Consider the following 19,879-nt stretch of genomic DNA (forward strand, 5'->3'; position numbering starts at 1 on the left):
ATTCTACATAACTCAATCAAAATCTTAGTAGGCATTTTTTGGAAAATTTAAGAAGCTCATTCTAAAATTCATGTGGACTTACAATAATCCTATATTACCAAGACAATGTGGCATTTGTATTGAAAGAGATTAATAAAGTAAGTCCAGAAATGAACCCCACATATATATCAATAATTTTTTGGACAAGGGTCAAAGGCAACTCAGTGGAGGAAAAACAATGTTTTCAGGTAATGTTGCTGGAAATCTTGGATCCATACATACACACACACACACAATTTAATAACTTCAATTTATACCGAGCAACATACACAAAAAAAACTCAAAATAGATCACAAAGCTAAGTATAAAACCTAAAATTACAAAACTTCTAAAAGAAAACAAGTAAAAATCTACATAATCTTGGGTTATGCAAAGAATTCTTAGATATAACACCAAAACTACAAACTATAAAAGTACAAATTGATAAACTGGATGAAATCAAAATTAAACAAATTTGCTCTTTGAATGATACTGCTAAGGAAATAAAAAGCAAAGTCACAGATAGTGAGAACATTTCTGTAATTCATATATCTGATAAGGAACTTTTGTATCCAGAACATATAAAGAAGTCCTAAAATTCAGAAGGAAGAAAACAACTCAAATTTTTAAATGGTCAAAATATTTGAACAGATACATTATCCAAGAAGTATAATCATGGCAACTAAGCACATGAAAAGATGCTTATCATTATTTGTCAGTAGAAAAATACAAATAAAAATCACAGTGAGATAATACCGAGACAGCCAAGTAAAAATAGGTCCCTGGAGAACCTCTGACCGGCCTGGGCACTGGGAGGAATGGGCACTAGGTGGAGCCTCGGGAAGTTCGCGCAGATTGCACAGGGGCGGAACCTGGCCTGTCTTCTTCCGGGATGGAACGAGGAATTCAATCTACAAGGCCGGAAGCATATATACTAGCAGAACTTTTGCTCTTCTGAGAGTCCCTCTTTTCCTTCTTTTTTCCTTTTTACCCAATAAATTCCATTTTTCTCACCCTTCAAATGGTCTGCGAGCCTGATTTTTCGTGGTTGTGTGACAAGGACGCCTTCTTTAGCTGAATGAAGGAAAAGTCCTACAACACTATGTCACATCTATTTGAATAGCTAAAATTAAAAGGACTGGTCCTATCAGTATTCATTAGGATGTAGAGAAGCTAGAAATCTCATACAGTGCTCATGGGAATATGAAAAGGTGCAACCAATTTGGAAAATAGTTTGAAAGTTTCTTAAAAAGTTATATATGTAGCTATCATAAAACACAATCATTCCTGGACATTTATCCAAGAAAAATGAAAGCACGTGTCCATTTAAAGGTGTTTACATGAGTGCTCAAGCAGCTTTTTTGGTAATAATCCAAGCTGGAAACAGCCCAAATGTCTGTCAACAAGTGAATGGATAACAAATTGTGGTATATAGACAAGATGGAATACTATTAAGGAATAAAAAGGATAAATTCTTATTGATACATGCAACACCATGGATAAATTTTAAAATGGTGAGTTGAATGAAAGACACACAAAAAAATCATAAGATTCAATGTATTTAACAATCTAGGAAATGCAAACTACACTGTAGTTGCAGAAAGTCCATCAGTGATTGTGAGAAGTTGGGGTGGTGAGAAAGGTGAGATAGAAGGATTATCAACGGACATGAGAAAACTTTCGGGGGTGATTATTGTGTTATTATGTTATACTGAGTGTTCTGATGGTAATACTGGTGCATTTACATGTCAAAATTCACATTGTACATTTTAATATGTTCAGCCTATTATATAACAATTATACTTTAATAAAGTTATTTAAGCAAAAGATCACTTTGAATGATTGGGTAGCTGTAGAGAATAGGCTACTTAGAATCAATGAATTTAAAGATGAAATTCCATATAGGTCAATTAGTCCAAATCTTTATATGACACTTGAATTTTCTCTACAATATCAATAATCACCAGGCTGAACACCACAGAATTGAGAGACTTACTGTCTTCCAAGGCAACTCCTAACAACTTTGAGAGCTGTTAGATTTTGTTTTTTAATACTTGATTGTAAGGAGTCAAAATAATGGCCTCTGTGGTAGTCACACATGGATCCTTAACTAACTCTTTAGCATTTCAGGGCTTTCTTAAAAATATGCAACATATTTTAAGTTTAACCCTTCAAATATTTGGGGGAAAAAAATCAAGGTTCCATGAATTTTTCTTTTATAGGATAAAAAGCTCTAGGTACTCTATTCAGTAAATATTTATTGACCACCTACTATGTTCCAAACTCTATTTATGGTACTGAGAACAGAGTGGAGACAGGAGAAGATGTCATCTCTGACCTCATAAAAGGGAAGAGAAATGTTATGCAATTCATAACAAAATTTGATGCCATTTAGCATAGTATAGGGGCATGGCACAAACTACAAGATCATGTTACAATGTTTATAATCTAATTTAGTCATCAAGGAAGGCCATCTACACAATGTTAAGCTTCAGTTGAAACTTACAAATAAGTAAAAAGTTATTCATACAAAGATGGGTTTGAAGTGTGTTCCAGCCAGACTGGATACCATGTGTGTCTTATAAAGGAGCCAAAAATGGCCTGATGTGTTTCTTCTTCCCTACAGGATGGGACCCATTTGTTCACAATCTCACCAGCACCAAACTTAAATTTTACACATCCAGGTGTTTAAGCATAACCCAATTAAGCAGATTTTTAAAGCCATTTGGAGTCTATATGCTTTGCAAGTTTCATGAAACTATACCCAACATCTCCTAGCTATAGATAAGATAAACCCTGTAGCCATTAAAAAAAGAAAAGAAACGAAAAAAAAAAAAAACCATGCAAGCTACTGCTGCCCTTCTCAGCTCTCTGATCCAGGGACTCATTCTCTGTGCTGAGAAACATTACCGTTCTGAGTTGTGGCGTTCCTTCTCACTTTCCTCACTATGTCCTCTAGATGGTTTCATGCTGTTAGGGACTGTCTAGGCAAAGAGACAGCTTCTCCTTCACCTTCTGAAGGCTCATGGAAAATCATTGACAAAGGCAGATTTATTGGAGAGAAGGCACATAAATTTATTTGTTCACAGTTTTATGTGGTATGGGAGCCTAGAGAATGAAGACTCTACTATGTAGAGGAAAGTGTTCATTTTTATGCTTCAGTTCAACAAAATATGGACTGCCGTGTAGAAATAGGACTGGACAAAGAAGGAATGGTCTAATGCTAGCAGAGTGAGTGGGGAAGCCCAGCAAGGCCTGTCAGCTTCGGTTCTTCTTGGCCTCTCTGAGCAGCATTCCTGCATTATATGTATGGGGCAGGACCCCCTCTGGAATGGGGGTCTTACAACCCACAGTCAAACCAGGTGGGTCAAATAATTTCTTTATGGCCAGATTTTAGAAAGGAAGGTGAGAGGAAAGTTAGAGTAATATTTTTAGGTTTTATGTCTGGCTTGGGGGAATAGAGGTTCTGGTTTCTATGACCTGCTTTGGGGAAGAGAGATGCCAGTTTTTGTGTCTCGCCTTGGGAAAAAATAGCGAGCTACAGACAGGAGGGCAGGAGAAGGTCAGAGAGACTGCTTCTGAGGCCTTCATTTTGGAGTACTGTTTCTGATACCCTACAGGACTTCCCCTATATGCACACCTGTCAAAGCAGCAACCTAAATAAAGCTCATTGTGCACTATTGCTACCTAAGCATCCTTTTATTTTCCATGATCAGCCCCAAAATTCGTTTAACTCACCACAGACCAAAAGTGCAAATGTGAAAGAAAAAGAAGTGCTGAGCAACTTAAATGAATTTTTAAAATAATATATTATATGAAATAGGTTTTAGTTCTTAAAATATCCTATACTCTCATTTGGACACATTGATTTTAAAGAAAGAGTTCCTTGACTGAAAGTAGTATACACTTCCAATTAAACAGGATTGACACTTTCTATTCTTTAGATACTATTATTTACTCCTTGGTGCAAATTTGATTACCCATGTGATTGTTAACTTCTCATGCTAAAAAGTCATTGGATTTGCTGTTATCTAAGATTCCTGTCTCTTAACACATGCTCCTATTGTCATATTTCTACTGTTCTATATTTGTGTGATTTTTGCTAAACAAAAGTGTGAAGACTGTTTTTTTCTCTCTCTCCACATATATATATATACTCAAAAAACTTGTAAGCATTTATCACTAATTAAATATTTACATTAATATCTTCATATATTTATTTATTAATTGTATTGTCCATTTACCACATTATTCTGGTATCCTGGCCAGGTTAATTCCAACCTTAACCCTTTATGATTTAATAATTGTGATTTATTATTTTTCTCTACATGTCTAAAATTTAATAATCAGTATATACTGACATTATTATATATTTACTAACATTATTCAAAAAAGGAAAAATTAAAATGTTTTCTTTTATATTAGTTCCTTAAGATAAAGTTCTTATGAACATACAACGCAGGTGTTCAACAAATGTCAAAAGTAAATTTCATAACCTACTTCTTTAAGCAACACACTTAGTGGCCCAGAACAATATATTATGAATGTTATACCTCACTGCATTGCTTCCAAAATGTATGTCAGTTACAGATATAGGCCTTCTCATATTGCATGTTCTTCCCATTTATAAGTAAATAACAGTGCCCATGCAATGTATCTGTCCTAGTAAAATGTGGAAGTTCAAATATATTTTTTCTAAATAATCACCTGAAATTACTAATTGTTGATTATATTCTCTAAAGAGTTGATTAATTAATTTATTAAATCATCATGAGGTTCATTAAGCCAGAGCCGTGACAGAGAATTAAATAAAGAAGTAGCTATGTGCAAACATTTTTTTAAACATTGCAACTATTTTCTCAGTTGCGTTTCATCCATATCCTCTGTCTGTCAGGCTGGTTTAAATCTGGGTAAGTTGGTGGCACTTTAATATGCAAAGAAGTTCTGTGTTTTCACAGCAGATCACCCACTAGAACTAGAGTTAAACTTTATTTAAATTTCTCATTAGATAATTTGAAAGTGACAAAGAAAGAGGGGCTGTGGAGTGACAGGTATGAGAAAATAAAAGACATTTACAATAAGGTACAACAATAACGCTATTTCTTTTTGAGTGTTTACTATACACCAAGCATAAACAAGCTTCATGTTAATTCTCATAGTAACTTAGTGAAGACACTACTATTATCATCATTTTAGATGAGGTCAATGTCAGATCACAAGCACCTGATAGTATTGTACTCAAACCCAAGTTTCTCAACACCAAAGTTCATATGCTCAAAATAGACCTCATACTACTCTCATGTAATAAGTCAAGTGGTTAATGATGTCATTACCAAATAAGGAGCCTTCTAGATGGGCAAAGAAATTGAACAAAATCTGCAAATGTAACATGAAATACTGCAAAAAATATTATAAGCTACACACTGAAGGTATTAATACAAGTTAGAGTTTTATATTTTTAGACAAAGTTAATTGGATTTCCACTTCCCATTAGGATGCAGGAGTACATAAAAGAACTTCTGTTCCATGGTGGTAGCAAGACAAAAATACAGTAAAATTTATTATCTTTATAAAGCTATGAAGAGCAGTGGACATAGAGGTGTCTTGAGCACAATTCCAAAGAGAGATAATCCCTTCCTGGGTGATCAAAGTGCCACTGCCACACTGGGGTCAAGGACTTAGTGTGGCAATAAGTGGGTAATAGACTGGTCCTTCTATAGGCAGAGAGCCTTACAGAGACATTGTGAAACCAGCCAATGTTATAATGACACATTGGAAGACAGAAAATTACCAAATAGTCAATATTTCAGCCTGACAATCCTCCCACTGCCCTTTTGAGATGATTGCTGAGTAAAGGCAACTGAACTGAGTGAAAAGCAGAAAGTCATGAAGCGAAACTACCTACATTTGCAATTCAAACCCCTCCCAGCTTGAGTCCTGAAAAGAGCAAAGAAATTGGCTGCAGAGAAAAGAGCGACTGCCTAAATCCAATATGAAACCACAGGTGAACACAATCAATTCATGGTTCCAGGCACACAAACACAAGTAAAACTCTTCATGGAATCTGAAAACTCATTCCTTAAGAGTACTTGCCCCCACAGAGAGGAATGGGCTTGAACTCTCTTACGAAAAATCACACAAAACAAGAACAATAAAATACATTATAGTTCAATCTGTACTCTTTTTAATGTAAATAAATGCTCAACATTTAATTAATTTTTAAAAATGATATACAAGACATCAGGGAATGTTACCTTGATTAAATGGAAAAAATAGTTGACAGAAACAGAGCAACAGATAACCCAGATTTGGGAATTAGCAGGAAGAAGTTTAAAAGGACTATAATAAGTATATTAAATAATTATGAAGTAAAGCAATGAAACAAAAGAAATAAATTAGGAGAAGAGATGGTGAAATACAGAATAGAAAACAAACTACATAAATGAAATAAAAAATCTAAAAAGTAAAAATACAACATATAAAATGTAAAATGTATTCAAAATTAGAAACTTAAAGCAGTCTAAAACATTCTTCCCCTCCTGTCCTTTGTGAACATTTTGAGCACAGTTTGGACACAGCAGAAAGAGTTGATGACTCTTAAACAGATGGATAGAAATTATCCAAATTGAAGTACAGTGACATATATATACACATATAGATGTATATATTTATATATAATATATATTTATGTATTTATATATAAACATATCTAAAATATATATTTATATATATAAAATATATACATATAGATGTATAAAATATATACATATAGATGTATAAAATATATACATCTATGTTTATATATGTATATGAAAAGACAATGAATGCTAGTAGACAATGAGACTTTCAGTGTGTGAAAAGGGAAAAAAGTCCCTGCAATTCTTTCTTCAATATTCAGCAAAATTATCTTTCAAAAATAAAGAAATCTTTAGATACTTCAAAGCTGAGAGAATTTATTGGTTCCCAAACCACCCAAAAAATATGCTGAAGGAAGCACTTTTAATGAATGAAGAAATCCCAAAGTATCTTTAAAGAAAAAACAACTAGAAATGTCAGGAGCACAACGCCAATCTACAAAATTTAACTGTATTTCTACAGAATAGCAACACATAGTTGGAAAATGAAATTTTAAAAGTGTACTATAGTATCAAATACATAAAACACTCAGAATAAATTTATTGAAAGATACGCAAGAACTTGGCAATTAAATATAAAAATCAATGTAAGAGAGGTTAAAGTTGATGTAAGTAAATGAAGAGATATGCCATGTTCATGAATTGGAATCAATATTATTAAAATGTTAATTCTCAAATTAAAGTATTGATTCAATGCTATCTAGATGAAAAGCACTGCTTCTTTGTAGAAACTGCAAGTTCCTTCTATAATATATATGGAATTGAAAAGGATCTGGCATAGCCAAAACAATCCAGAAAAACAAATTTCAGTATTTGGTTTCAAGGCAATATATTGTATTATAAGAGACACTTATTTCCTAATTGCAAGGCTTACAATAAAATTACATTAATTTTGACAACATGATTTTGACAAGAAGTTAGGTAAATACATCAATGGAACAAAATAGGGAGTCCTATGAATTAATGCAATTCAGAAAAAAAGTCTGAAATAAATGGTGTTAGTACAATGAAACAATGGACCTTTTACACTGTTCAAAAATTAACTGCAAATGGACTATAGACCTGAACATAAAAATTAAGCTATAAAGCTACCAAAAGCATAAATAAGGAAATATTTTCTCATCTTAGGGTAGACACATATTTTGTAGACATGGCAATAAAAAGTACTAAATATAAAAGAAAGAAACAGTAAATTGAAATCATGCTCATCAAAAGACACCAATTAAGAAGGGAAACAAAAAGATACAACTGGGAAGAAAATGATTACACTTCATTTATCTAACAAAAGACATATTCAATTACATAAAGAATTCCTACAGTTCTGCCTGGGCAACATAGTGAGATTCTGTTTCTACCAAAAAAAATTCTTTTTTAAATTATCCAGGCATGATGGTGTGAGTGTGTAGTTCCAGCTACTTGGGAGGCTGAGGTGGGTAGATTGCTTGACCCAAGCAGTCCAAGACTGCAGTGATATATGATCATGCCAGGAAGCTCCAGCATGGGTGACAGAGCAAGACCTTGTCTTTAAAAGACAAAACACACACATACAATTTAATAATATAGGACAAATTATCTAATAAAAATTGGCAGAAGACATGAACAGACAATTTCCAAAAGAAGATAGATGGATGGCTAATAAGCACGGATACTCCTTGACTTATGATGGGGCTTCCTTCCAATAAACCCATCATAAGTTGAAAATATTGTAAGTCAAAAATGCATTTAATACATCTAACCTGCTGAACAGCATTGCTTAGCCTGGCCTTCCTTAAATGTGCTCAGAACGCTTATTTTAGCCTAAAGTTAGACAAAATCATCTGTCAACACAGTTCATGAGGTTGCTTAGCCTCATGAACTGTGGCTCACTGCCTCTGCTCAGCATCCCAAGAGTTTCCTACCACATGTCACTAGCCCAGAAAAATATCAAACTTCAGAATTCAAAGTACGGTTTCCACTGAAAGTATATCACTTTTGCGGTTTCTACTGAAAGTGTATCATTTTTGCTCCATTATAAAGTCAAAGAATCATAAGCTACACCATCCTAAGTAAGGGATCGTCTGTAAATGAAAAGGTGCTGAATATCATCAGGAAAACTTAAATCCACAATGGCATCCCACTGCACATCCACTGGAATGAAAACAAGTAAAAAGCCAGGCAAGGCGCGATGGCTCACACCTGTAATCCCAGCATTTTGGGAGGCCGAGGCGGGCAGATCATCTGAGGTCGGGAGTTCAAGACCAGCCTGACCAACATGGAGAAACCCCGTCTCTACTAAAAATACAAAATTAGCTGGGCATGGTGGTGCATGCCTGTAATCCCAGCTACTTGGTAGGCTGAAACAGGAGAATCACTTGAACCCAGGAGGCAGAGGTTGCGGTGAACTGAAATCGCACAATTGCACTCCAGCCTAGGAAACAAGAGTGAAACTCCATCTCAAAAAAAAAAAAAAAAAAAAAAAAAGCCAGACAAACTTTTTTATTAAAAAAGTTTAATAAAGATAGGAGTCAATGAGAATCCTCACATATGTCTAGAGGGAGTGCAAAATAGTATCAACACTTCAGAAAACTGATAGGCAATTTTATATAAACTTAAATATATACTGGATCTTACCAGTTCCTCTTCTAGGTATAAACATGAAAGATAAGAAAGCATGTGATCACTCAAAAAGACAAATACAAAAATGTTAATAGCAGAAAATATCCATCACCAAAAGAATGGAGAGTCAATATAGTTTTATACATTGCTGAGTAGAATATTCTACTCAGAAATGCAAAAGAATAAAGAATTTATGTTTACAAAGCATGGATAAATCTTAAAAACATTATGTTGGAAAAAATAATGCAAAACAAAAGCATATACTGTATCATTCTGCTTATATGGAAGTCAATGAAAAGCAGAATTAAACTATCATGCTAGAAATCAAAGTAGCGTTTACTCCAGGGGGAGTTTGAGCATTGACTGGAATGAGGCACAAATATTATTTCTGGGGTGATAGAACTATTCTGTTTTTTGATTAAGGTTTTAGTTACATGGGTATATACATTTGTTAACATTCAACAAACTGTACTGTTAAGATTTACGTACTACACTTTAAATAAATTACACCTCAATTTAAAAATGTCTAAAGGGTACTTGAATGAGGGAAAAATGAAAGACATGCAGATCCCAAAAAGCAAGAGTGTCTCCTTAGAAAATATCCAGGATTAGTCAAATCTTGTTTTTTATTGTGTCTATTCCAGCCTTCTTCTTTAAAATGAATTTGGAAAATATAAACAGTAGGTTAACAGATTATGGGAAGCTTTTTTATTTTTAAGGAAGAATACAAAGGTATTCTTATATTTTGCCTTACTGTAAAACTCCCCAAACTCTACATTTGTGATAACTAAGCTTTCCTTTTAGGTTCAGGATCCATTACACTTCCTGAGTAGTGGAAATTTTGGTTCTTCAAGGATCTCAGTGTCAACATTTTTCAATATCTGACCCTGGTTTACACTGATGTTTATATTTTGCTTATTTGTCTATGGAGCAGTATGATTCATCCCTTATCTTGTACCCTCAGTTGCTAAAAGATTACCCAATTTATAAGTGACTCAACTGATATTCCCTGCCTGGTCCTCAAATTTCATCAGGACTGAAATTCTTTCTCCACAGATCACTCAAAAACTGCTTATTAGAAGTTTACTATGTGCCAGACACTATATGGTAAGCACTGAATGTATTGCAGAGATGAAGGAACAAACACTTTCTAATTCTTCTGGGAATTAGAATTGTGCCTTTGAATACAGTGAGTGAATATCTGTTTGAGTACTTTATTATGCATTAGACACATGAAAAAATGCAGTATGTCCTAATGGAAAGAAAATTGTAAAATCAAAATTAACATTTATTTAAATATCTCTTTAATGAAATATTGTTGCCTATAGCTGTCAACTTAACATTCACAAAAACCTAATTAAATCTGTCAGGATTTTGTCATTTAAACTTTTACATAACAAAAATTCCCAGGCTTATGGTATAATTACAGATAGCATATAGCCAATTGTATATTAAAGATATTCATTCAAACATATTTTTGAAATCATAGAGATACTCTTTTAAAACTTGGATAGAAAATAGTTTAATACAGAATCCAGATGTCTTTTAATATGTCTGATATCATATATTCATTGGGGTAGGTGAGGCTGAACAACAAGTGTACTCAGAAATATAATGGATCAGCAAACTGAAAGTTTTTAATGTTCACCTATTTAATACCTATGGGAGTTCCAGGTAGGTGGACACTGGGGCTGGTGGAGCAGCTGAGTCTATGTTCTGCTTTATTTCCTAGAGTCGAGCAGGAAAACTAACGTAAGTCATGCTTGTGGGTATTCCTTGTGGCATATATTGCTTTGGCCCACCTTATTTCATCTACAGCTCAGTTATACAGTCTCTCATAGGTTAAGACGTGGAGACTAGCAATAAAAAGGAGTGTGGCAAACAGCTAATCCATCTCTTGGTCTGGGAGTGCCCTAGAGAAAATGAAAGTTATAAGATCACTGCTTGTTACCACTGCTTTTTATTTTACTTTATTTTTATTTTATTTTATTTTACTTTTTGAGACAGGGTCTCACTCTGTCACCCCAGGCTGGAGTGCAGTGGTTTGATCTTGGTTCACTGCAGCCTCCATCTCCCGGGTTCAAGTGATTCTCCTGCCTCAGCCACCCAAGTAGCTGGGATTACAGGCGTGTGCCACTATGCCAAGCTAATTTTTTTATTTTGAGTAGAGACAGGGTTTCACCATGTTACCCAGGCTGGTCTCGAACTCCTGAGCTCAAACAAACCACCTGCCTCGGCCTTTCAAAGTGCTGGGATTACAGGTGTGAGCCACCATGCCCGGCCACCACTGCTTTTTAAATCATAAATTCGCTTATTATCTGCTACCTGAAACAGACAGAATTTTTCACAAACCTGTCAAAATTGGTTCCAATAAAATTTTACTTTAACTGAATGGCTACGATGAAAACTTCTTTTATAACATAGATTTTTTTCAGACCCTTTTTAAAACGAAAAGTACCTGATCGTTTTGTTCTCTTTGTTGAAAAAGAATGAAAAAAGTAAATTTATTCTAAATCTTTTCTTTATACTATAAGTGATAATAATTTGAGTATCCCCACAACACTTTATGAACCAGATTAATCCACTAAAATCACATGTGTATAAAATATATAAGACGGCATTTTATACATATTTTTCCTCCTTAGACTCTAGCACAGGGTCCTATGACCATATCAGGAATTCCCAGGTGTTAGTTAAGTTAGAATTGCTTTGACCGAAAAAGAGCAAGCTGTGTGGTATCTTCAAGAATTTTGTGTAATAGAATTGCTTAGAAATCTTGTTGGTCATTCAGTGCCCATTTTCCAGGAAGATCAGATGTTACTTTTACTACCTGATCCCTTTATTGCTTGTTGTTTATCATATACTAGGCACGGTACTTGGTAATTTGAGGATTAAAGAGGTTTTCAAGACACTATTCCTTGTCCTCAAGGAGTTCACTGAGGAAACAAGGAAGAATGCTGTGATTACGACAGTGAATTAATATTAGGACAAGCCAAGGATTTCTCCTTGTACTAGTGATAAGAACTTTTCTATTTTGTTTTATTTATTTATTTATTTAGAGACAGAGTCTCGCTCTGTCGCCAAGGCTGGAGTGCAGTGGCATGATCTCAGCTCACTGCAAGCTCTGCCTCCCCGGGTTCACGTCATTCTCCTGCCTCAGCCTCCTGAGTAGCTGGGACTACAGGCGCCTGCCACCATGCCTGGGTAATTTTTTTTTTTTTTTTTTTTTTTGTATTTTTAGTAGACACGGGGTTTCACCGTGTTAGCCAGGATGGTCTTGATTTCCTGACCTTGTGATCAGCCTGCCTCGGCCTCCCAAAGTGCTGGGATTACAGGCGTGAGCCACCGCGCCCGGCCCATAAGAACAGTTTTTAAAGAAGACTACAAACCACTTCTCTTTGGAATTTTACTCATTTCCTTCTCTGGAAGCCGTGTGATAAAGCCAGGTGACTTGTGAATATCTTCTTTAGCATCTTGACTTTAAGTATAGCAGTATGCTGTCTGAATTATTTTAAAAAAATATATTCCTACAACTCTGCTAGGTTTTAATATTATAATGGTTAGACTTACAATCGCCTTCACCTCAATTAGTCCTTTAACTTTAAACATATTAGGCCAAGCATATCTCATAAAGTTATCACAAGAGACTAAAGTAAAGGAGCAGTAGTTCATAGGAATGCATTTAAAATTATTTCATATTTCTTAAAGTGCTGATAGTTTTCAGTAAAGGAGAAATAAAATCCACTCAAAAAAGTGGCCTTTCTTCATCCTTAGTAATATTCCATTAGCAATAAGATACTTGTGTGTGCGCATATGTGTATGTCTGTGTTTGTATGTGTACAACATCTCGACAGCTTAGTCATTTTATGAATCTCCTTAGAAGCCTACTGTTTGCTCTGTTTGTTGACAGTAGGTGTTAATACGGATCCAGATATCTCTAGTCTAACCACAGATGCAACTGAGACCTCAGAGCATATACTGGATTATAGGTGGCTACAAATTCTTAGTCATTCTCCCTATAAAGGGATGTAGTCTAGTTTCCTTTCCCCTGAATCTGGACTCAGCCTGTGACTCACTTGATTGGTAAAAAGCAGAACTAAGTAACATTGCACGATTCCCAAAGCTAGGTCATATGAAGTGTTACACCTTCTGCCTACCTCTTTTGGAGTGCCTGCTGTAGGCACTCTCCTTCTGAGAACTCAGTTGTCATTGTGAGACTCCCATGCCACGAGGACAGCCCTGTGTAGATATCCAGTCAATAGCCATAGCTGAGCTCTCAACCAGGAACTGGCATCAAATTCCACCCATGTGACTGAGCCATTTTTGGCATGCAATCAGTCATGCCTTCTGCTGACTGCAGCTTCCTCTACTACATGACAGACCTCAGGTGAGAACCATTCAGCTGGGCCCAGTAGTCCACAAAGCTGTAAGAGAGAATAACGGAAGCCACTAAGTTCTATGATGGCTTATTACACAGAAATAGATAATCCCAAGCCAGTGAACTCAGAAGCCCATCGTTCAGTTTAATTCTGTTATCTTTTCAACCTCAGAATAACTGTGATCAAAGCTACATCACTCACACTTCAAACAGGCTTCATCTTGCTCTGGAGAACTCATCTTGGTATAATTTTATGTGACTGGGGATAGAAAGACTCAAATGATCTTTGATTGACTTCATTTAAGTTTTGATTCTGCTTTATAAAGTAGATTTGCATGAGGGTACTTGCAAGTTTGGAACCACCTTTCATTAAAAAAAAGAAAAACTGAAAATACTTTATTATTAATGGATAGTTTATACTTAACAGGTAAAATCGAGAGTTTGCTATAAGTTTTCTCTAAATGTACCCTAGATGTAAACAGGGCCAACACTTTCCCCAAGGTCTAGACAATATTGGTCCAAATTCACATTTATTGATTAATGAAAAATCCAATGCCTTCCATAAAATTTCTGTGAAGTAACTAGGTTGGAAGAGGGTTCACCTGATGTTCTTAGGGCGACCTCTGGTTTTGAGATCTTGCTTCTGAATTTAATGAATTTCAGAATCTTACTGACATCCAATTCGTACAGTTCTTATTCCAAGTTCTATAGACCTAGATAAGCACACTGTAATTCTTTAATTTCCTCCAATAAATTGTAAATAGATTTCACTGTGGGTTCAGGGAATACATAGACACATATTAAAAGTCAACTCAACAATAGATATGCAGGTTCCTTAAAAACAATCAAAGAACCATAAGGCAGCTCTCAATCATTCCACAAAAGTGGCATTTGTCACTTGTGCTCATATTCTGTTAGCAAAACCAAGTGACATGGTCAACCTTCATGTCAGCTGGACAGAAATGGATTCTCCTCCTCAAAGGAGGTATTGCAAAGCTCATATGGCAATGGGAGAGGGCAAAAATCCTCTTACAGTTAGTGGATTCATTATGTGAAGAACATTCTAGAAGAGGGACTAGCAATTAGAATGCATTTGAGGCAATAATATGCTTGATACATTTTGGAGACATCATCAGGACAGGTTTGTCTGTAACAAAGTGAAGAAGAAGAAGAATGAAAGAAAATGAGGATCATAGAAGTAGTCAGGATTGTGTAGGTTGTGGTTAAGACTTAAAATTGTATTTTAAATGGGATGAAAAGCCAGAGAGGGATTTGAAAGGAATGGTATGATATGATTTACATTTTAAAAGAATGATGCTGCCTTTTAAGAGGGGAATTAATTCTGCTCATGGCAATGGAAACAGGGAACCCAATCAAGAGGCTTTTTCAGTAGTTCAGGTAAGAAAGGAATGCAACATTGATGTTGGAGAGGTGATGTAGCAGAAAAGGTAGTGAGAAATAGTTGGATTATGGACATCTTTTAATGGAAAAGCTGAAAAGTTTTTGGTGACTTTGATGGCATAAGGAGGAGGAAATAAGGGGACATTTACTGAAAATCTCTCATGGAATAGCAGATTTGGAGACAGGCATATCTCAAATATGTTAAAATTGAGATGGCTATTTGACATCCAATAAGACATATACGGTATGTAGCAGGACATATGAGTTTAAACTCAAGAGAGGGACCTGGAAGATACTAAATTTGGGTGAACGAGCAAATGAATGGTAGATAAAATCATGAGACCAAAATACAGGGTCAGTATAGACAAGAAGAGAAGTTTAACGTCTGATTCCTCAGGCACTGTCATATACAGAGGTCAAGGAGGATAGAAAGAAACAGCCAGTTTAAGAGAAACCAGGGTAATGGTTTTCCTGGAAGAAAATGTCTCAAGAAAGACAATGTTTTGTGTGCTATTTATAGACCAAGTAAGATGGAGGCTCTGAGTTGTATATTATATTTAGAACTGTGCGACCAGGATGAAAGTGCTAGGTATTTCAATGAAGTGATGGGAATGAAAATTGTACTGGAGGAAGTTAAGAAAAACTGGGAGATAAAAACGCATAAGCACAGCCAGGTCATTTTTAAAGAGCTGTCTTTAAAAGGGAAGAAACTAGATGAGTATATAAAGTCAGGAGTTAGTTTTTTCATTTTGTTTTGTTCTTATTCTGAGGATGTCACAACAGGTCTACATTTACTCATCACTGGCTCATTTATTTGCATGTTAAAGTAAATACACACACACATACACGAACACACACAATCAACATAGCACATCTTTGTAGTAGTGAGATGTTCTTTGCCTTAGCCCATCCCATCTGTTCAACTTCTCACCTCGTTCATTCTGTGTTTAAGCAGCACACGAATTTTCCCTTTTGTTTCATTTGTCTCCTCTTGACAATGAATCAGCAAATTACTCACAACTGGAAAGGCTTCCATGCTGAAACCATAACAAAGAAAGCAACTCCAATTCTTTTCATCTACTGAAGCCCTCAAGCTTGAGTATCTGAAACTTACAAAGTACTTTCTAATAATTATTTCATACCAGAGCGTACGCAGTGAGGTTGGCAGCATACACAGGAGGAGAGAGTGGAGAGCTAACAAGACAGACAAGGTCTCGCAAGAGAAGACAGTGAAAAGCAGTGGTTCATATGTGTTGACTTTCTTGTTGTTATTATCAATTACTTGTGCTTTGGCCCTTTTTGGTTCAGCCTTACTACAAGTTATCAGTTTTTTTAATATTTTCAAAAAATCATTTTTTCATTTTGTAAATTGGGTATTATTTATTTTTGTGTGTCATCATTCTCTACTCTTCACTGTATTCTATTGTCTAATTACTTTTACTTTAATTCATTATTTTGTTTTCAAATTTCTGGTGGAAATTTAATTATTGACTTTACAAAGTATATCGCCATCCACCATCCCCAGCTTTCTCCCAAATAACATCAAGAACTCACAATGTTACATTTCTAATTACCCAACTGCCCCATTTCTTGTTATTCTAAGTTTCATATTAACTACTTAAGTCTTGCTTATTAATTCTCCAAAATATTTAATATTACCTTTGTTTTCTTAAGTCAATGGTAATTTTATTTTTAACTATTTTATTTTTTAACTAAACTCACTTTTATTTATTTACATATCTAATTTATTTATTTTTGAGACAGAGTCTTGCTCTGTTACCCAAGCTGGAGTACAGTGGTGCAATCACAGCTCTCTATAGCCTTGACCTCCCTAGGCTCAGGTGATTATCCCATCTCAGCCTCCTGAGTAGCTAGGAATACATGCATGCACCACCACACCCAGCAAATTTTTTTTTGTAGAGATGAGTTTTTGCCGTGTTGTCCAGACTTTGTCTCAAACTCCTGAGCTCAAGCGATCTGCCCGCATCAGCCTCTCATAGTGCTGGGATTACAGGCAAGAGCCACCATGCCTGTCCACAATTTTTTTTTTCTTTATTCTACTTCAAAATTCTGAAGTTAAGTTTCTTTCTTCTTCCTGAAGTATAATAACAACATAGTACTTTTGTTGGTGACCACCTAGAATTGGAATGATCTCTACATATCATGTGCAATGTCTTTATTTCCACTGCACACAGTGAACATGGAACTGTAGTTTTGTTTTATACATAAATTGAGCTATTTTCCCTTAGCACTTAGTAACATGGCTGTGCTGGGAAGTCTAGTTTCAACCTAGCCATTGTTCCTAGCAGGGAATATGGCTTTTCTCTCTACCTGTCTTTTTCTTCTTCTTGCCATTCTACAGTTTCACAACGCTGTGTTGCCAGGTAGATTTATTTTTATCCTAATATTTTATGTAAGTAGTAATGTATTTAATCAGCTCCTTAAAAATTATTTGTACCCTAATGTGTCCGGAATTGGTCGGTTCTTGGTCTCGCTGACTTCCAGACTGAAGCTGCGGACCCTCGCGGTAAGTGTTACAGTTCTTAGATAAGGTGTGTCTGGAGTTCGTTCCTTCAGATGTGTCCAGAGTTTCTTCCTTTGGGTGGGTTCGTGGTCTCGCTCACTTCACAAGTGAAGCTGCAGACCTTCGAGGTGAGTGTTACAGCTCTTAAAGGTGGCAGGTCTGGAGCTGTTCATTCCTTCCAGTGGGTTCGTGGTCTTGCTGGCCTCAGGAGTGAAACTGCAGAACTTCCCAATGAGTGTTACAGCTCATAAAAGTGGCACAGACCCGAAGAGTAGGCAATAGGAAGATTCACTGTGAAGAGCCAAAGAACAAAGCTTCCACAGTGCAGAAGCAGACCACACCACGTTGCCATGGCTGGCTCTGATGGCCTGCTTTTATTCCCTTATCAGGCCCCACCCACATCCTGCTGATTGGTCCATTTTACAGAGAGCTGATTGGTCCGTTTTACAGAGAACTTATTGGTCCATTTTGACAGAGTGCAGACTGGTGCATTTACAATCCTTTAGACACAGAGTGCTGATTGGTGTGTTTAAAATCCTTTAGCTAGACACAAAAGTTCTCCAAGTCCCCACCAGATTAGCTAGACACAGAGCGCTGATTGGTGCGTTTAGAAACCTTTAGCTAGACACAGAGTGCTGATTGGTGCGTTTACAACATTTAGCTAGACATAGAGTGCTGATTGGTGCATTTACAAACCTTTAGCTAGACAGAAAAGTTCTCCAAGTCCCCACCATCCCAGAAGCCCAGCAGGCTTCACCTCTCACTGGCACTTGCCCTCGGACTTTGCAGCTCCTAGCTGGGGCACTCTGGCAGCCCAGAGGGAGCTCGTCCCAGACAACCAAGAGGAAAAGAGGGGGAGCGAGAAAGAGACAGAGACCCACCATCGTGGCCAATGACCCTGCGAAGAGGGAAAGGCAGTCCACGAACGGGACCCAGCCTCTGATCAAGCCCAGCAGGTGCCATCCGACCGTGCCCAGTGTGGTGCCCACCGAGCCTGCACCCACCCGGAACCCAGGCTGGCCTGTGAGTGCCATGTGCATGCCTCGCTCCCGCCAGTGCCTCTCCCTCCACACCTCCCCCCAAGCAGAGGGAGCCGGCTCCAGCCTTGGCCAGCCCCAGAGAGGGGCCCTCGTAGCATAGCAGCTGGCTGAAGGGCTCCTCGAGTGTGGCCAGAGTGGATGCCGAGGCCGAGGAGGCACCGAGAGCGAGCAAGGGCTGCTAGCACGTTGTCACCTCTCATTACTTATTAGCCGTTATTATTATTATTACTATTTATTATTATTATTTGAGATGGAGTCTTGCTGTGTCACCCAGGCTGGAGTGCAGTGGCGCAATCTCAGGTCACTGCAACCTCTGCCTCCTGGGTTCACACAGTTCTCCTGCCTCAGCCTCCCGAGTAGCTGGGACTACAGGCACCCGCCACCGTGCCCAGTTAATTTTGTTTTTGTATTTTCTAGTAGAGATGGGGTTTCACCATGTTAGCCAGGATGGTCTCAATCTCCTGACCTTGTGATCTGCCCGACTTGGCCTCCCAAAGTGCTGGGATTACAGACGTGAGCCACCGCGCCTGGCCACCATTATCTTTATTCACTCTTCCTCAAACTATTAGGTGTATGTTGACTATTTTCATTCTCTATTCTTCCTACTTTTTGTCTCCGTGTAGCATCTTTGTAATGTCTATATCTTTACCTCTTTTGGTTGAATTCTGGGTAATTTTCTAAAATCTAAAGTTTAACAATTCCCTCTTCAAATAGATATATATATATATACACACACACACACTCATATACATATATATAATATGAGTGTGTGTGTGTACATGCACATGCAAATGCATTCACTACTATATGTTTGGAAGTTCTAGTTCTATTTCAAACCATGGTATGCTTTGCTTATAAGGTCAAATGGGGTTTATGTTCCTTTACTGAAATTTTCATTGCCTTATATATTTACACATGTTAAACATAATTATTGCATTTTTTTTGTTTTTGTTTTTTGATTCTTCATCCATGTTGAGGTTCTTATGATCAAATCCTCCTCTGTGGTATTGGTTCGGCTTGCTTACATTCATGGAAGACTTTTTTTCTTATGCTCTCTGCATGTTTATTATTACTTTATCTGCAGCAGGTCTTGTTTCTGAAATGAGAGAATTCCCTGACCCTCTTCTGGGACTTGCGACTGGTTGTGGCCCATTTGCTCCAGGAGGGGAGCATGCAGATGGGCAGCTGTAGGAGTTGACGTGGGCGCTTTTGGGCTCCAGCTCCACAGTAGCATCTAGGAGTGTGTTACAATTAATGCTGTTTTAGCAGTTGCTGTCAGAAGATGGCT

General features: G+C 36.8%; 1 long non-coding RNA gene across 2 annotated transcripts; it reads right to left on the bottom strand.

Annotated features, from left to right (window-relative positions):
- Positions 1 to 10,518: 10,518 nt before the first annotated feature.
- On the bottom strand, positions 10,519 to 17,949 carry LOC105373223 (uncharacterized). 2 transcript variants are annotated; one of them, XR_949313.2, is made up of 4 exons: positions 17,486 to 17,949; positions 15,959 to 16,064; positions 13,406 to 13,672; positions 10,519 to 11,161 (listed from the first exon to the last, which is right to left on the bottom strand). It is a non-coding gene; the product is annotated as an uncharacterized LOC105373223 (long non-coding RNA). The 2 variants fall into 2 exon arrangements; XR_949314.2 differs by having other exon boundaries at positions 17,359 to 17,935.
- Positions 17,950 to 19,879: the final 1,930 nt, after the last annotated feature.

This window comes from Homo sapiens, chromosome 1 (genome assembly GCF_000001405.40).
Source record: "Homo sapiens chromosome 1, GRCh38.p14 Primary Assembly".
Taxonomy (NCBI): domain Eukaryota; kingdom Metazoa; phylum Chordata; class Mammalia; order Primates; family Hominidae; genus Homo; species Homo sapiens.